The sequence below is a fragment of the Homo sapiens genome, chromosome 9, assembly GCF_000001405.40.
Source record: "Homo sapiens chromosome 9, GRCh38.p14 Primary Assembly".
NCBI lineage: Eukaryota > Metazoa > Chordata > Mammalia > Primates > Hominidae > Homo > Homo sapiens.
In genome coordinates, this window is record NC_000009.12 from 25,230,012 (window position 1) to 25,249,127 (window position 19,116).

General features: G+C 35.8%; 1 annotated feature.

The window, feature by feature from the left end:
* Positions 17,649–18,848: an enhancer, noted in NCBI's record as "BRD4-independent group 4 enhancer chr9:25247658-25248857 (GRCh37/hg19 assembly coordinates)". NCBI's record gives its function as "activates an origin of replication core promoter dependent on BRD2, P300/CBP, MED14 and CDK7 cofactors, and independent of BRD4, by STARR-seq in HCT116 cells {active_cell/tissue: HCT116}" and the evidence as "EXISTENCE:reporter gene assay evidence [ECO:0000049][PMID:35650434]".

The following is a 19,116-nucleotide window of genomic DNA, read 5'->3' on the forward strand; positions in this document are numbered from 1 at the left end:
CCCATTTGTCAATTTTGGCTTTTGTTGCCATTGCTTTTGGTGTTTTAGTCATGAAGTCTTTCCCTATGCCTATGTCCTGAATGGTATTGCCTAGGTTTTCTTCTAGGGTTTTTATGGTTTCAGGTCTTATGCTTAAGTCTTTAATCCATCCTGAGTGAACTTTTGTATAAGGTATAAGGAAGGGGTCCAGTTTCAGTTTTCTGCATATGGATAGCCAGTTTTTCAATACTGTTTATTAAATAGAGAATCCTTTCCCCATTGCTTGTTTGTGTCAAGTTTGTTAAAGATCAGATAGTTGTAGATGTGTGGTGTTATTTCTGAGGCCTCTGTTCTGTTCCATTGATCTATATATCTGTTTTGTTACCAGCACCATGCTGTTTTGGTTACTGTAGCCTTGAAGTATAGTTTAAAGTCAGGTAGCTTGATGCCTCCAGCTTTGATCTTTTTGCTTAGGGTTGTTTTGGCTATGTGGACTCTTTTTTGGCTCCATATGAAATTTAAAGTAGTTTTTTCTAATTCTGTGAAAAAAGTCAATGGTAGCTTGGTGGGGATAGCATTGAATCTATAAATTACTTTGGGCAGTACGGCCATTTTCATGATATTGATTCTTCCTATCCATGAGTATGGAATGTTTTTTCATTTGTTTGTGTCCTCTCTTATTTCCTTGAGCAGTGGTTTGTAGTTCTCCTTGAAGAGTTCCTTCACATCCCTTGTAAGTTGTATTCCTAGTTATTTTATTCTCTTGGTAGCAATTGTGAATGGCAGATCACTCATGATTTGGCTCTCTGTTTGTCTATTATTGGTGTATAGGAATGCTTGTGATTTATGCACATTGATTTTGTATCCTGAGACTTTGCTGAAGTTGCTTATCAGCTTAAGGATATTTGGGGCTGAGATGATAGGGTTTTCTAAACATACAGTTATGTCATCTGCAAACACAGACAAATTGACTTCCCCTTTTCCTATTTGAATACACTTTATGTCTTTCTCTTGCCTGATTTCCCTGGCCAGAACTTCAAATACTATGTTGAATAAGAGTGATGAGAGAGGGCATCACTGTCTTGTGCCAGTTTTCAAAGGGAATTGTAGTTCAGTTCTGCTGGTGGCAAATGCACTCAGCTTTTGCTTCTCTTCATGTGTTGTTATGGAATGGTGTCCCCAAAAATTCATATGTTGAAGTCCTAATTCCCAGTACCTCAGAATGTGAACTTATTTGGAAAGAGGATATTTTCAGATGTAATTAGTTAAGATGAGGTCATACTGGTATAGGGTGGGCTTCTAATTCAATATATGACTGGTGTTGTGACAATAAACCATGAGAAGACATATAGATACTCACAAAAGGAAAACACCATGTAAAGATGAAAGCAGAAATTGGAGTGATTCTTCTACAAACAAAGTAATGCTAGAGATTTCCAGCAAACCACCAGACATAAGCAAGAGGTATGGAGCAAATTTTCTGCCATAACTTTCAGTAAGAAGCCATCCTTCAGGCATGTTAATCTCAGACTTTTGTCCAGAACTGTAAAACAATAAATTTCTAATGTTTAAGCCACCGAGTTTGTGGCAATTTGTTATGGCAGCCCTAGAAAACTAATATGCATATTTTTATTTTATGTTTGTATGTAAGGATGTATTCAATGATAGAATAACGATGTAGAATGCTAGGAATGACAAGGGTTTTTTGTTTTGTTTTATTTAAATAATTTAAACAGTTCTTAAAAGCTGCTCTTCCAATTTTTTTGGTAAAAAAGAATAACAGTTATTCCTTCTATGTTTCAGGTATATATCTTGTCTTTTATCTAGCTGCTTTCAAATATTTTTCTGTATGTTTCTTATTCAATAATTTTGCCATAATATTTCTAGTTTTTTTTTGTTGATCCTTCTTGACGTTTGCTGAGCATTATGCATATGAAAGTCGATGGATTTCAGAAAATTTAAGCACATTTCAATCTCTATTTTAACAAATACTTCCCTGCTGCATCCTTAATCTCATCTTCTTCTGGGATTCCTATTAGATATATGTCAAATTACTTAAAATTCTATGTATCTGAGTATCTTCATATCTTTTTCTCTTTCATCAGTTTTTAAAAATGAATAATTTTTTGAGGTCAGTCACAGGAATGCTTGATTTTCATTGATTTTTAAAATCTTTTTTATGTGTATAAATGTATAAATGTATGGGGTAAGAGAGTAATTTTTATATGCATAGATTGCTTAGTAGTGAAGTCAGGGCTGTTAGTATATCCATCACCTAAATAATGTGCATTGTACATGTTAAGTAATTTCTTATCATCTACCCCACTCCTACCTTCTCAACCTTCTGAGTCTTCAATGTCTATCATTCCACACTCTATGTCCATGTGTAGACATTATTTAGCTCCCACTTATAGGTGAGAACTTGCAGCATTTGTCTTTCTGTAACAGACTTGTCTCAGTAAAGATATTGGCCTCGAGCTTCATTTATGTCACTCCAAAATACATGATTTCTATTGTGAGTAGTGCCACAGTAAACATACGTGTACATGTGTCTTTATAGCAGCATGATTTATAGTCCTTTGGGTATATACTCAGTAATGGGGTGGCTGGGTCAAATGGTATTTCTAGTTCTAGATCTGTGAGGAATCGCCACACTGACTTCCACAATGGTTGAACTAGTTTACAGTCCCACCAACAGTGTAAAAGTGTTCCTATTTCTCCACATCCTCTCCAACAATGATAGACTGGATTAAGAAAATGTGGCACATATACACCATGGAATACTATGCAGCCGTAAAAAAGGATGAGTTCATGTCCTTTGTAGGGACATGGATGAAGCTGGAAACCATCATTCTCAGCAAACTATCACAAGGACAAAAAACCAAACACCGCATGTTCTGACTCATAGGTGGGAATTGAACAATGAGAACATCTGGATGCAGGAAGGGGAACATCACACACTGGGGCCTGTCGTGGGGTGGGGGGAGGGGGGAGGGATAGCATTAGGAGATATACCTAACATAAATGATGAGTCATTAGGTGCAGCACACCAACATGGCACATGTATACATATGTAACAAACCTGCATGTTGTGCACATGTACCCTACAACTTAAAATATAATAAAAAAAAGTATACATATATAAAATACATGATTTCACTCTTTTTTTATTGCTGAATAGTATTCCAGGAAACACTTTTGTAATACATTTTCAAGTTCACCGAAATCTTCCGCCTACTCAAATATACTGTTAAAGCCATACAGTGAATTTTTAATTTCATTTTCTTTTAGAATTTTTATTTTGTTATTTTATCTGCTCAACTTCCCCAAGTGGTTACTCATTAAGACTGTACTTACTTTAGTTTTTTAATACTTTTAAGTTTAACTTTTTAACCATTTTACATTCACAGCACTGAGAAATCATTGTCACAGTCTAAGTTTAGAGCATTTACATCTCCATAAAAGAAACCCCGTATTTATTGTCAATTACTCTCCGTTTTTTAACACTACTTCACAGGCAACCACTAATCCATTTTCTTGTCTATGAATTTGCCTATTCTGTACATTTAACATAAATGTGATTATGTAGTATTTGGTCTTATATGACTGCCTCCTTTCACTTTGCCTCATTATAGCAAATATTAACACTTTTTTATTGACAAATACTATTCTATTATACTCACATTTCATATCTTATTTAGCTATTCATCAGTTAAGGGACATTTGGGTTGTTTCCACTGTTTGCAAATACTACTACTATAAACATTTTTGTACAAGTTTTTGCATAGATATATTTTTGTTCTTTTCTCTTGCATATACACTTAGGAGTGGAATTGCTGGGTGTAATGGTTCCCTATTGCTGCTGTAACTATGACAAATTTACTTGCTTAAATCAATGCAAATTTACTTTATTACAGTTTGGTCATAAATTCAAAATGGGTATCACTAGAATAAATGTAAGATGTTAGCAGAGCTGTACTGGGTGCTCTGGATGTTCTAGCAGAGAATCCATTACCCTTGCTTTTTCTAGGTTTTGGAGACCACCTGTATTTCTAAGCTTGTGTTCTTTCTCTTTTTCCATCTTCAAAACCAGTTGAGTAACATGCTTAAATCCCTCTCTGACACTTTTCCTTCCTTACTTCATTTGTAAGAACCCTTATGACTACATTGTGCCCACTCAGATAATCACCTCATCTTAAATTCCTCAACTAAATCGTAACTGCAGAGTCCCGTTTGCCATGCAAGATAACACTTACAGATTATGGAGATTAGAACATGTGTATGTTTGGAGGAGGACACATTATTCTCCCTACCTCACTGGGTCATATGGTAACCCTTTATTTAACTTTTTAGGAACTGCCTGTTTTTTAAAGTGGCTGCTTCATTTCACACTCCCACCTGTAAATTATGAGGTTTCTAATTTCTCCACATTCTTACAAACACTCGTTTATTGTCTGTCTCTGATAATACTCATCCTAGTGGGTTTGTATCACTTCTCGACCTTTTGGCCAAGATCAAGTCTAGTCGGTGTGAAGTGGTATATTATTGTAAATTTGTAAATTTGATTGGCATTTTTACTTTTTTTAATTAATTAATTAATTTATTTATTTTGAGATGGAGTCTCGCTCTGTTGCCCAGGCTGGAGTACAGTGGCATGATCTTGGCTCACTGCAACCTCCGCCACCTGGGTTCAAGTAATTCTCCTACCTCAGCCTCCCGAGTAGCTGGAACCACTGGCGCGTGCCACCAAGCCCAGCTAATTTTTTGTATTTTTAGTAGAGACGTGTTTCACCATGTTAGTCAGGATTGTCTCCATCTCCTGACCTCATGTTCCACCCGCCTCAGCCTTCCAAAGTGCTGGGATTACAGGCATGAGCCACCCAGCCAGGCCTGATCTGCATTTTTCTAATGGCTAAGGTTGTTGACACCCATTAATGTGCTTATTGGTCTTCTGTATATCTTCTATAAAGGGATATATATTCATATCTTTTGTTTATGTTTTAATCAGTTTGTTTGTTTATTTATTTATTTTGAGACAGGGTCTCCCTGTGTCGCTCAGGCTGGAGTGCAGTGGCGCGATCTCGGCTCACTACAAGCTCCGCGTCCCAGATTCACGCCATTCTCCTGCCTCAGCCTCCCGAGTAGCTGGGACTACAGCCACCATGCCTGGCTAATTTTTTGTATTTTTAGTAGAGACGGGGTTTTACCATGTTAGCCAGGATGGTCTCCATCTCCTGACCTCGCGATCCGCCTGCCTCGGCGTCCCAAAGTGCTGGGATTACAGGCGTGAGCCACCGCGCCTGGCCCAGAATAAACTTTATTCTACAATATAATCTTCATTCCTAAAGCTCAGCTTTTCTGTCTCAGATAAATGCCTGAGGCATTAATGAGAAGCCAAGTATGTCTCTTCATGTTAACTGTGCTAATCCTCCAATGCCCCCACTACTGCTTGGCATCTTATGTCTCTGTTCCATTTTCAACTCTGTAGCAGCTGGTTTTTGGAAGGCTTTGTGTAAACTCATTCTGCATGCTTGCAGCCCATCCATAATACAGGGAATTTTAGGGGAGCTTCACACCTCTGGCACCTCTGACACCTCTAGCACTTTCACACCTCCGGCACCTTCACACCTCTGGCACCTCTCCACCTCTGGCACCTCTCCATGCACCTCACATCTTTGCTGCTGTGTCTAACCCCTTCTGGTGCTTCAAATTCTGAATTCTTCCTCCTCAGCTCAGCACAAATGCTCTGCTCTCCTCAGATTTCAACTTTCGGTGCCATCATTGAAAAATTGTGCCCAGCCAGATAATAAGGGCAATTATGGAGATCACTCAAAGTTTCCTTCCTCTGAGAAACAGTAGTATTCTAATGCCTCTTGTCCAATGTCAGGAAACTTTTTTGCCTCATATATTTTGCCCAGGATTATGGTCACTTATAAGTAGAAGGCTAGTCCATTATCAATCATTTCATCATAGCTAGAAGTCAGACAGAAACTTTTGACAAATAGTATCAATGACACTCATCCCAACATTTCTCAATGTTGGAAATTCTATAACCTTTATAAAGATACATGTATGGTAATGTATACTGACTTAAATTTCATTGTCTGCTGTATTTTAGGGAAACAGTTTCATGGCAATGTTCGCAATGAACATAGTGGAACTTTTTCAGGCACTTTTAAGTGGAAAAAACTTTTCAAATCTAAGTTAAAATATAACCATATATGCTATAAAATATAAGATAGCTAAATCTGTGTGTGTTAAAGTAATTAGAAATAATTCACCACTGATCTGCTGGACCATAGCAAATCTCTTCAAAGTAAGTTTTAAATATATCCCAATTCATTAAATTGGAGCAGGGGGATATAGAATAAATGCTTTGTGGAATACAGAATGATGTAATAATTATGTTTCCCAGAAAGGGATTGTACTATGAATTCTTCAGTTTGGCGCCTTCCTCAGTTAACAGGTGTTAGAACCTTTATATGTCACTTTATGTGGATTCATAATGTTCCTTTGAAAAGCTTCATAAAACTCTGTTGTATAAATACACTATACAATTTTATCTAATTCCTTTTTGATGGATATTAAGACTACATCCATATTTTCACTATTATAGTTATCTCAAAAATAAGATATTCTTATTATCTAACAATAAATTAGAGTGTTCAATTCAATTATCTAGCAATAAATTGGACTGACTGCTTCTATGGGCTAAAAGCAAATTGGCATTTTATGTTTCTCATCTGTCCACTCTTTTAAAGAAGGAAAAGAAGACTACCATTTTATTTCATATTGCTTTAATTATTTCTAGTTTTGACTAAGTTTTTAAATGTTTAATATCTACATGGATTTCTTTGTTAGCGTGTTTTATAGTATTTTTCTGCTGAGTTATTGTATTTTCTCTGTTAGTATATTCTCAATTTATTACTTACTGTATAACTTTAGTAATGTTTTTTAATTAACCAAAACTTAAGTTATCTTCATGTATAAAATGAAAAAATTATTTTTAACACATTAATATTATAACTAAATTAGATAGCAAACACTTAGCAAATGTTACCCATTCTTAAACTTTTTAAGAAAGACTCTTGGTATGCTATGAATGTTAACGATCGGTTGTTAACATACACAGCAAAAATTTTCTTTTTTTGCTTTTTATTCCTCCACTTGTAAGCCTTAAATAAGTTTTAATTTGTTTATATATAACTTTGTTCATATTTCCTTAAGGATTACTGATTTTATGCTATTGTTTTGAAAGATTTCAATTCTAAACTCAAAAATATATTTAGCCATATTTTATTCTAATTCATCATTCATGTTTTACATTTAACTAGTTGATATACATGTATCTCACTTTTTATATTACATATATGTGTGTAAGGACAAAGTTAACGATCTAATTTTTTTTTACTTCAGTTCAACTAGTTGCTCAAAGTCTGGATTTTCATTACTTTTAAATTATATATATGGTTTGCTTTTCTTATACCAGTAAATAACATATATATATATGTTATATATGTTATTTATATATATGTATATATACATATATGTAATTACATATATATAATTATATATTAATATATATGCAATTAATATGTAATTTATATATATACATTAACATATATATGTAATTATATATATTATATATAATTATATATATAACTACTCTGAATGTATAACATACACTAGTATTTATGCAACTACTTCCCCATTTATCATTTATTTTATAATTTTATTGGCTATGTCCACTTGTGGGTTTTTCTAAAGTTTAAAATTATTTTCTTAAGGTCCAAAAAAATTTGAATTTTTTCCTTCAAGTTGCATTAAGTTGATGGATTTAGAAGAACAAATATATTTATACTATTGAGTTACCTGAGAAAAACTTATGTCTTTCACTTTTTATGAATTTTTCATGTATGTAACTCAGCAGTATTTAATATTCTCTTTATATATGTCATAAATATTTCTTCTACATTTCTCCTAGGTATTTTACTATTTTGTTTTCCGTAAAATTTATCTGGTCTTTTAAAATCATAGCAATAAACTTACTATCATCTGTCTCTAGAAAAAATATTGAATTTTATATTATTTTCAATGAGTCCCCAAAATATTTTTTACATTTTCTTACAGTTTTCTCACTAAAATTCTTAAAGTTTCCAAATATACAATTAGTCTACTTGTTATAATATTATATTCTACCTTCTATTTATTCCTTTGTTAGATAGTAAAATATATTTAATTGCATGCTATTAAGTGAGTAGTAAGGCATAGATGTTTGAATTAATCAAATGCCATGTCAACATCAAACCTACAATCATGTGTTATTCTCTTTGGCCTTTAAGTTTGATGTATTCCATTAATAGATTTTCCAATATTTACATTGTTTTACAGTCTTTGAAGTGACACCTGCTTTTCCTTTCATTGCTACATATTGACACATCTATTCTTTCATTTCTTACTTCCGTAGTGATGATCTCTTATTTTGCATGTGCAGAGAGGTTCATATCTAAAGTATTCTCTCAAGTTTTTGACAAATACTACAGTGTAGTAATCATCAGTAGTTTGCATTTAGAGCCCTCATTCTCATTTTTTCAGAAGTCAATTTTTTTCTCTTTACTTTAGAATTCTGTGTATATTCATTTTTGCTCTGTTCTCTGTCTAGCTGTGGATGTTTCTATCAAAATTAGTTGAAAAGCTGGGTTTTGACTGTTTAGCATCTATTCAATATGTCTTTTGCTTGGACGGCAAGGAGTGTGAGGAAATAAGCTGGAGCACCCAATGTCATTGATGTGAGTATGTCATCTCTTGGGACACTTTGCTGTAAAATATGACAAATCCTTTGCCCATGTCTCCCCTCAGCATCTGATAGTTTCTTCTTAGTTGGAAATCTAATGTTGAGGGTAGAAGTGAACACATATTGCAGAGAGATCTTTTGTTTGGTTGGTTGTTGTGTATCTAACTCTGCTAGTTATCTCTGAAAAACTGAGTTAAATGTGTATTTCTACCTCTCTCCTATCTGCTTTGACAAGCACTGATTTGGACAGCGGGTTGTTCCGGAAAACAAACACAAAAGGAATGAAGAAGATGAATGTGCCACCACTGGGGTAAGAAAACAAGGTAGATGACCTAACTTAATCTACTTAGGTGCTTGTCAACTGGACTTCTGTATATGCTGGAAATTATTTAGTAAACCTGATACTATATAGGATCACTGATAGTGATTATCTAATTTAATTAAGTGGGACTGTGTGTTCATCACCGTTTCCCTCTGTCCTAGAATCTACAGACCTCACAGAGATGGCTGGTTCTCTCTAGAGTAATATGATATTTTCTTTCCTAAAAACAACAAAACTCATCTAATGCAAATCTTAAGTGGTAAAAATTTTTTTACTATTTTTCTTAAAGGGTAATGGCATTTTTACTCTTTTGCTTATATCACTAGCTATCTCTTAATTTTTTCTGATTTTTTTCTTTACATTACAGAGCACTTCTCAGCTGTGTATTTAAAAGGAAAAATACTTATTGAGCCCTTATTTTGTGCCAGGAATAACACCAATCACTCATTTTGCACTTATTTTACAATTTTCAATTTTCTTTTTTTTTTTTTTTTTTTTTTTTTGGAGTGACGGAGTCTTGCTCTGTCACTCAGGCTAGAGTGCAGTGGCACAATCTCGGCACACTGCAACCTCTGCCTCCTGGGTTCAAGCAATTCTCCTGAATCATCTTCACAATTAACTGGAATTACAGGTGCGTGCCACCATACCCAGTTAATTTTTTGTAATTGTAGTATAGACGGGGTTTCACCCTGTTGACCTGGCTGTTCTTGAACTCCTGACTTCAAGTGATCTGCCTGCCTCGGCCTCCCAAAGTGCTAGAATCACACATGTGAGCCACAGCAACTGGCCTCATTTTACAGTTTGTTAGCAGGCTGATTGAAGATGCAGGATTGATTGACCCAAGCCTTCTCAATAGCCTAAAGTTCTGTAGATGCCAATAGACAATGCAGTTAAGCCAAGTATAAGCTAAAAAATATTCATCCAACCATCTATTCATGCAATAATCAAATATTTATTGAGCACCTCTAAGTAGCACTCACAGAATTTACCTATATTAGAGAATAAATAGATATTGTTTCTATCTTCAAAAAGCCTATAGTCTAGGGAGGGACAGTGAAACATAAGCTTACAAGGTTATAATTACAAGTTACATAACTCTGGAGAAAGACAGTGTGAGTGTCTAGTTGTTTTGAATAATACTGAAAGAAAGACATTATTCTAGTTGGAAGTACGTCACTATAGTCATGTTGATTAAAGGGAATAAAGACAAGATTCACAGACCTCTAGTGAGAACCAAAGGGAAGGATTCAATTATAAAAATTATCTATAAATTAAGAAGTCCACCACCAAAAATAATGAAAAGAAACACAACAATATGTTAAAATTTTGGGATGTGCTTGGTTAAACTAATTCTGTACTTAGAATTTTAACGTTTTGTTATTTCATAACTTCTTTAATATAATTCCTCTAAATAGTTATAAGGCTGGTGGAATTCAAAATATTATAGCAAGTTCAAGTACTAAACAATAGTGCAACATATTCTTTATGACAAAAGAAAGCACTAACGAGAAATAAAATTGCTCCATGAATAACCCAAATGTGCGGCCCAAATGTGTGGCAGAGAAAAAGACCTAACCTTTTCCAGTGCTTTACGTAATAGAATATCCCTGTAGCACCAGTGGAAATGGGAGTCAGTGAGTGTCACAACATTTAAGTGACAGGTACAAGAGTATATATTATTTATATTAATTTCAGCCATCACAAAAGAACCATGTTAAGCTTATGAGCATCATTTTTTTTCACCAGACGTTTGACAAGAGACCACAACTGATGTTTCTTATTTTTAAAAATAAAACTATGAGGCTATTTTTACTAATTAGTCAAATTAGCTGATTTTCAATAGAGGAAGAAGATGTAGACCATTTGGTCAGGCCACAAATAAGTGTTTCCTAAACTTTCTCATTCCCCAGCTGACGCATAGATGCCCTCAATACATGTACAGCAATAAAAGAGAGAAAGAAAATATAAGAAGATGAATAGGAAGATATAGTAAGAAAGAAATGTCAAGTATTTGGAGAACCTAAGGCATTATTATTATTACTAAGTAACAGAGGTATGACTGTGGCCAAGAGGGAGGAAAGGAAGGAAAAATATTCTAAGAGTCAAATCCATATCTTTAATTATCAGGTTCATAAATAACCCAAAGTGATAACTGCATTTAGGTGTATGTAGTATATGTATTATGCTAATAGTATTGGAAACAAAAGATGCATACAACTTAAAAAATAAAAATGTTGGAAAATATAGAAAAATATGAATAAAATGAATGTGGATATAGTTATATAGCACATGACAATCTTCCAAGGAATCTCTCTTGATATCAGAAGCATACTGACAAAATATTCATGTAACATAAAGAATATGTCTTTATTTTTCTTACTTTTAGACAGCACTAAATTTGTGGCAAGGACATTCATGGAAACACAGCACAGCTAGATGTCTTAGTGAAGTTTCTGAATGTTTAAACATTTAAGATTGTGGCCTCCTTAGTGTGAGAGCCTGATTCATTTTGGCAGTTGACAGTTTGTTGGCAGTTTACACTTGGTGAGTGCATCTGACTCTGTCAGTCTGTTTCCACGAGCTACCTACCTGTCACACTGTAAGTGGCCTTTCTTCCACATTCACAAAGTTTGTCTTTTTTGTATTTTATTCGTCATGAAGATTTAAAGTGACTGCATGTGAAAGGCCACGTAATCATTCTTTGTGATGACACCAGGTCTCTACTGTTGATATCAAAACATCATAAATGTAATACTAAGAAAAAACAGACTAGTCCAGAATGTTTCTATAAGTTATAGCGTAGTACTGAATGGACATTGAAAATCAGTCACACGGTTGAAAGTTGTGGTTTTTGCCTTTTCCCTAAGAGTCTATTCTTCCACAATAAAAGTGACAAAGAAAAAAAAGATGCAAATATACATGGAGAAACAATTGTTCATAATTCTAGAGTTGGATTTATTATTATTAACTCTCCCAAGCAAACTGTGAAAGTGCATTTTTGTGATCCAGAGAACTGTTATATGATAAAAACAGTGAAACAGAAGGAGAATTCTGATATCCTTGTGATGGCATTACTCGGAAAGTTGGACATAGCTTCGGTGACTCCAATTACAGGCTGTATTATGAAGGCTGGCACAACGCCATGCGAGAAAAGGCTCAAAGAAGAAAGATAAGTCATCGGAAAGCCCTTGGGTCACTACAGAGAAGAAATCTTATTCCTCTACAACACAGCCTGCAAATACACAAGAACAGTTGCATACTGTAGATGGCACCTTGACTAGTTGAAGAATAGAAAGTATTGCCATTACTTTTCTTTTCTTTCTTCTTTTTCTTTTTTTGGCAGAGTCTCACTCTGTCACCAGCCTGGAGTGCAGTGGCACAATCTTGGCTTACTGCAACCTCTGCCTCCCGGGTTCAAGCAATTCTCCTGCCTCAGCCTCCTGAGTAGCTGGGAATACAGGCGCATGGCACCATGCCCAACTAATTTTTGTATTTTTAGTAGAGACAGGGTTTCACCATGTTGGCCAGGATGGTCTTGATCTCCTGACCTCATGATCCACCTGCCTCAGCCTCCCAAAGTGCTGGGATTATAGGCGTGAGCCACCATGCCCAGCCTGGCATTACTTTTCATGGCAAAAACTGCAATTATTTTTGCACCAACCTAATAAATGCAGGCATCAAAACTAATGATACATATTGTACCACACAAAAGCTGGGAGGTATAGCAAGGGTAAAGAAGGGAGGTGTAACCTCAAAATTAACCTCTCACCTAATTAATCTTGCATGAATGTAATTCCTTAGTCTTGGTAAATCTAATAGAAATTCCTCTCTGAAAGCTTTTAAAGTGCCTTCCCTAGCATATAATTGGAGGATTGTGAACAGATATATGATTTTCATTTCACCAACACGTAGATTAGTAAGGTTCTTCTTTCCTTTGAATAGAAATGTTTCCACAGAAGTTAAGGTTGTTAGTTAAAAACACATGAAGATATTTTTAGTACTCTCGAGGAACTCATAAAAAGTTAAAACAAAAAGATGTATCATGGCTAAAAATAAATGCTTAACAAGCCTTTTTTTCTTTTCTTTCATTTTTTTTCTTTCTTTCTTTTTCTTTTTTTTTTTTTTTTTTTGAGACAGATTGTCTCTCCGTTGCTCATGCTGGCATGCAGTGGCGCCAACACAGCTCACTGCAACATTGGCCTTCCAGCTCAAGCGATCCTTTCACTTCAGCATCCTGAGTAGTTAGGACCACAGGCATGCCCCACCGTTTCCAGCTAATTATTATTATTAGTAGTAGTAGTGGAGACTAGTTCTTGCTATGTTGCCTAGGCTATTCTCAAACACCTACACCTACCTCAAGCGATCCTCCTGCCTTGGGCTCCCAAAGTGCTGGGATTACAGGTGTGAGCCACCATATCTGGCCCACAGTCATTGTTTAAAAAGTAAATGGTCAGAGCTCTTAATCAAAGGTTAATATTAATATTGGAGGAATATTCGAGCATTCAACAGACCAGGTAACCATTATTTGGTAATATCAAGTGACTGCTGTGTGTCAACTACATGCCAGGTGTAGGAAGAGTTACTTCTATGAGAATTATTTTTTTAATACTGAAATGCATTAAATATTAAATTATTATTAAATTATTAAGATTAGAAATATTTTGCTCTAAGAAGATAATTGAAAAATAGAAATTGTAGTTTTTTACTAACTGAATTATTAGTCTGCAGTTAAGTATTAAAAATAAAACTGATAAAGATTCTACCAATAAATAATTTATTACTGCCAAGGGAAATATTATTAAAATTGAAATTGAGGATTCTCAAAAAAGTGGTAAAACAATGTACCAGGAAGTATTTTATTGTAAAATTGAAAGCTATACTAAGAGAAGAGCTAAATTAGTTTGCTTCAACACAAAAAAATTATCAACAAAAAGCCACTCATTTAAAAATTAAAAGTCTGAAAATTACTTCAAGCAGGCAATAAAAACTATACAAACTGTCAGCTAAATTTTATTATAATTAAGCAAGAATATAAAACAAAAAAGTTAAGAATTCAAGCACAAATCACAAAATGTCAATTATTTAAATGTGGAGGATGGCAAGGAGACTGAAATCTTTCTAGACCTCTATCATTAACAAAACACCGAATATATTCATTTGAAAACCATATATCAGAGAAGGGGCTTAGAATACATACACTTTGATGATTCTGATAGATTATTCTGTAGTATCAGAACAGTTCAGAAGTTTTGCCCTTGGTTTGTTTTTTCATACATGCGTTTTCTCAAGGACTTCTTAATGGTACAGACAGAATACAAAATGCTGTTTCCACAAACAGAACCTACTATAATATGAACACAACTGTAGTTATGTTCATATTATATATGACAGGTAGAAAATGGAGGAAATGAAGGAGTACAAAAAAATAAGACAAAGGAAACATAGGAGAAATTTAACCAAGATTGGGGATTTTAAACTCTCCGTAGCCAGGAACATTTGCTGAGATTTTAAGTAAACTATAACTACATATTTTTAGTAAACTATAGAGTAACCATCACAATGTCAGGGCCTGTTCGGTTGCTTATTGAAGGAGGACCACAAAATATCTATTGTTTGTTTGGTTTTTGTTTTGTTTTTTGAGATAGGGTCTTGCTCTGTCACCCAGGCTGGAGTACAGTAGCATGATTATCACTCACTGCAGTCTTGAATTCCTGGGTTTAAGTGATTCTCCTGCCTTGGCCTCCAATGTAGATAGTGTTACAAATGTGCCACCACACCTGGCTTTTTTTTTTCTCTTTTAATTTTTTGTAGCAACCGGGTCTTCATAAAAGTTGCCCAGGCTGTCCGGAACTCCTGACCTTAAACAATCTTCCTGTCTCATGCACTCAAAGCACTGGGATTACAGGCTTGAAACACCATGCCCAGCCCACAAAACATCTTATAATAAATTCTTAGAAGGGAGTAGATCTAAGAAACACAATTGGAAGGTCTCTTGGTTCCTAAATGACCTCTGATTTCACATTCAGGTTCTCAGCAAAGCAGGAATCATTGCCATGATCTTTATAAATTATCGTTTAGTTTCTGTTTAAACTAATTAGTCATTCAGCTATATATGACAAGATTGGAAAATTTTAGTTACTGACATTTTAGCGAGTTAAGCCTTATTTTGACTAAAACTATATCTTAATGTGACTTTTCATCCTTGTTTTATTTTGAGCTAAAAAATTCTAATTACCCTCAGATGACATCCTTGAAATATTTGGAAATGTGTCCTTTCCAAACTTAATATCTTTCATTATTTTCTATAGTTTTTCAGTGGATTATTTGTGAATTCAGCTCAGATAACATATTGAATTGCCATACACAAAGAACATCACATTTTAAATTACATTTTAAATAAACTGAAGATGAAATTATAAAAACAAATTCAAAATGGTATTATACTCTTCAGCTATTATGAACCAGTTTTATTAAATCAATTTTATTCTAAGAAAAAGTAAAAATTCAGAATATATCTCTCCGTCTTTCTTTCTCTTTGTGTGTGTTTGTGTATACAGATGTGTGTTCATATATATACACAAACACACACATATATACACACATTTACGTATATACACACAAATCTATATAAAAGCAAAGAGGATTTAAAGGACAAGATGACCATGTGGAGAGAAAAGAAACATAGCTAGCATAGGAGCCTGTTGGTGATTATAAAAATGCCCCTCTGAGATTTTTTGCTAAAGGGAGAATAACTGATCATTCTAACTTCTGCTTTTATCAATTTATCATGGCATTTATGCTGAAGACACTCATATAATAGGCCAATTTCAGCCAATTACTGAACATGGCAGAGATATTAATTCAGGCCAATTAGTGTAAGTCTTGAGGACTCCACATCAGACTACACGAAATATTTTTATAACTGTGGTATAGCCTGAGCTCCTTCCTACACAGCTCTCCACCCTTCCCTTTCTTTCTCACAGGAGTTAGATCCAAAGGATCCCTCCACCTTCTTCAGTACCCACCCCCTTGCTTCGCAAACATTCTAGCCAATGTATTCGTTCAGTGCCTGATCTTGTCTTTTTGTCTGATTCTTGGATGATCCAAGCTAAGAGCCCCATATTCAATACCACATTTCTCCTCAATTTGTAGGTGAAGGCTAAGAGATTAATTACAGCTTTCACCAGTCTCCCAGGGCTAGAAAGAAAAAAAAAAAAAAGGTTTGTCACTTGGGTAAATTGTGTGTCACGGGAGTTTGGTGTACAAATGGTTTCATCACCCAGTTAGTGAGCATAGTACCCGAGAGTTAGTTTTTCAACCCTTGCCCTCCTTTCTCTCTCCCCCCTCTAGAAGTCCCCAGCTTCTATCACTGCCAGCTTTACGTCCACATTGCCCAATGATTAGCTCCCACTTATAAGTGAAAACATGCTGTATTTGATTTTCTGTTTCTGTGTTAATTCATTTAAGATAATGACCTCCAGCTACATCCATGTTGCTGCAAAGAATATGATTTTGTTTTTTTATGGCTGCACAGTATTCCATAGTATATATGTACCACATTTTCTTTACCCACTCCACCACTGATGAGCAAGTAGCTTGATTCTATGGCTTTGCTATTGTGAATAGTGCTTTGATGAACATATGCACTCATGTATCTTTATGGTAGAACCATTTATATTCCTTTGGGTATACAACTGGTAATAAGATTGCTGGTTTATCTACTTCATTATCCTACTACCACACACTCTCAAAGGATTTCTCAGACAATTTGTAGGAAATAACGAAATCTATCCTTACTTTACAATCCCAAATAGACTCTGGCAGCAGTGACTCTCCAAAACCGCCGAGGCCTAGACCTCCTCACTGCTGAGAAAGGAGGACTCTGCACCTTCTTAGGGGAAGAGTGTTGTTTTCACACTAACCAGTCAGGGATAGTAGGAGAAGCCGCCCAGCATTTACAGGAAAAGGCTTCTGAAATCAGACAATGCCTTTCAAACTCTTATACCAACCTCTGGAGTTGGGCAACATGGCTTTTCCCCTTTCTAGGTACCATGGCAGCCATCTTGCTGTTACTCACCTTTGGGCCCTGTATTTTTAACCTTCTTGTCAAATTTGTTTCCTCTAGAATCGAGGCCATCAAGCTACAGGTGGTCTTACAAATGGAACCCCAAATGAGTTCAACTAACAACTTCTACTGACAGCCCCTGGACTGACCCACTGGCCCTTCCACTGGTCTAAAGAGTTCCCCTCTGGAGGACACTACAACTGCAGGGCCCCTTCTTTGCCCCTATCCAGCAGGAAGTAACTAGAGCGGTCATCGGCCAAATTCCCAACAGCAGTTGGGGTGTCGTGTTTAGAGGGGGAATTGAGAGGTGAAGCTGGCTGGGCTTCTGGGTCATGTGGGGACTTGGAGAACTTTTCTGTCTAGCTAAGACAAAGGGTTGTAAATGCACCAATCAGCACTGTGTGTCTAGCTAATTGGGTGGGGACTTGGAGGACTTTTCTGTCTAGCTAAAGGACTGTAAATGCACCAATCAGCGCTCTGTGTCGAGCTAATCAGGTGGGGATTGGAGAAATGTTCTGTCTAGCTAAAGGATTGTAAAAGCACCGATCAGCACTCTGTGTCTAGCTAAAGGTTTGTAAACACACCAATCAGCACTCTGTGTCTAGCTAATCTGGTGGGGACCTGGAGAACTTTTCTGTCTAGCTAAAGGATTGTAAATGCACCAATCAGCACTCTGTAAAACAGACCAATCAGTACTCTGTAAAACGGACCAATCGGCACTCTGTAGAATGGACCAATCAGCACTCTGTAAAATGGACCAATCAGCAGGATATGGGTGGGGCCAAATAAGGGAATAAAAGCAGGCCACCCAAGCCAGCAGCAGCAACCTGCTTGGGTCCACTTCCACACTGTGGAAGCCTTGTTCTTTTGCCCTTCACAATAAATCTTGCTGCTGCTCACTCTTTGGGTCTGAGCCACCTTTATGAGCTGTAACACTCACCACAAAGGTCTGCAGCTTCACTCCTGAAGTCAGCAAGACCACCAACCCGCTGGGAGGAACAAACAACTCCAGACGCACTGCCTTTAAGAGCTGTAACATGCACCGTGAAGGTCTGCAGCTTCACTCCTGAAGTCAGCGAGACCACGAACCCACCGGGAGGAATCTACAACTCCAGACGTGCCATCTTTATGAACTGTAACACTCACTGCGAAGGTCTACAGCTTCACTCCTGAAGTCAATGAGACCACGATCCCACCAGAAGGAAGAAACTCTGGACATGTCTGAACATCAGAAGGAACAAACTCCGGATGCACCATCTTTAAGAACTGTAACACTCACTGCGAGAGTCCGTGGCTTCATTCTTGAAGTCAGCAAGACCAAGAACCCATCAATTCTGGACACAAAACTTTCTCTAAGAAAGGCCATGTGGTGGTCTTCTAGACAAATACTATTATACAGAACTACTGTCTTAAAGATGTAGTTTAAGACATCCTTAAAAACTGAAAGACCCTGTGGAGAAAGTCAAGAAAACAGTGTAGGAACAAATATAAATTTGTTCATACATTTGTAAATGTACACTTACAAAATGTAAATATAAATAAAGAAATAAGAAACTTAAAAAGCAACCAAAAATTTCTGGAGCTGAAAAGTGCAATAACTGAAATGAAATACTCCCTAAAGGAATTCAAAGGCATATTTAGGCAGACAGAAGAATTAGTGAACTTGAATATAAGACAATTGAAATTAAGGAGTATAAAGAACAAAAATGATTGAAGAAAAGTGAACAGAATCTAAGGTGCCTGTAGGACACCATCAAGCAGACCAACATACACATTCTGGGATTCCCAGAAGAAAAAATACAGAAAAAGGAACAGAAGAACTAGTTAAAGAAATAATAGACAAAAACTTCCCAAAGTTGGTGAAAGATGAATATAATCATCCAAGAGACTCAGTGAACTCCAAGATGATGAATTCAAACAAACCAATACCAAGGCATTGTAATCAAATTATCAAAA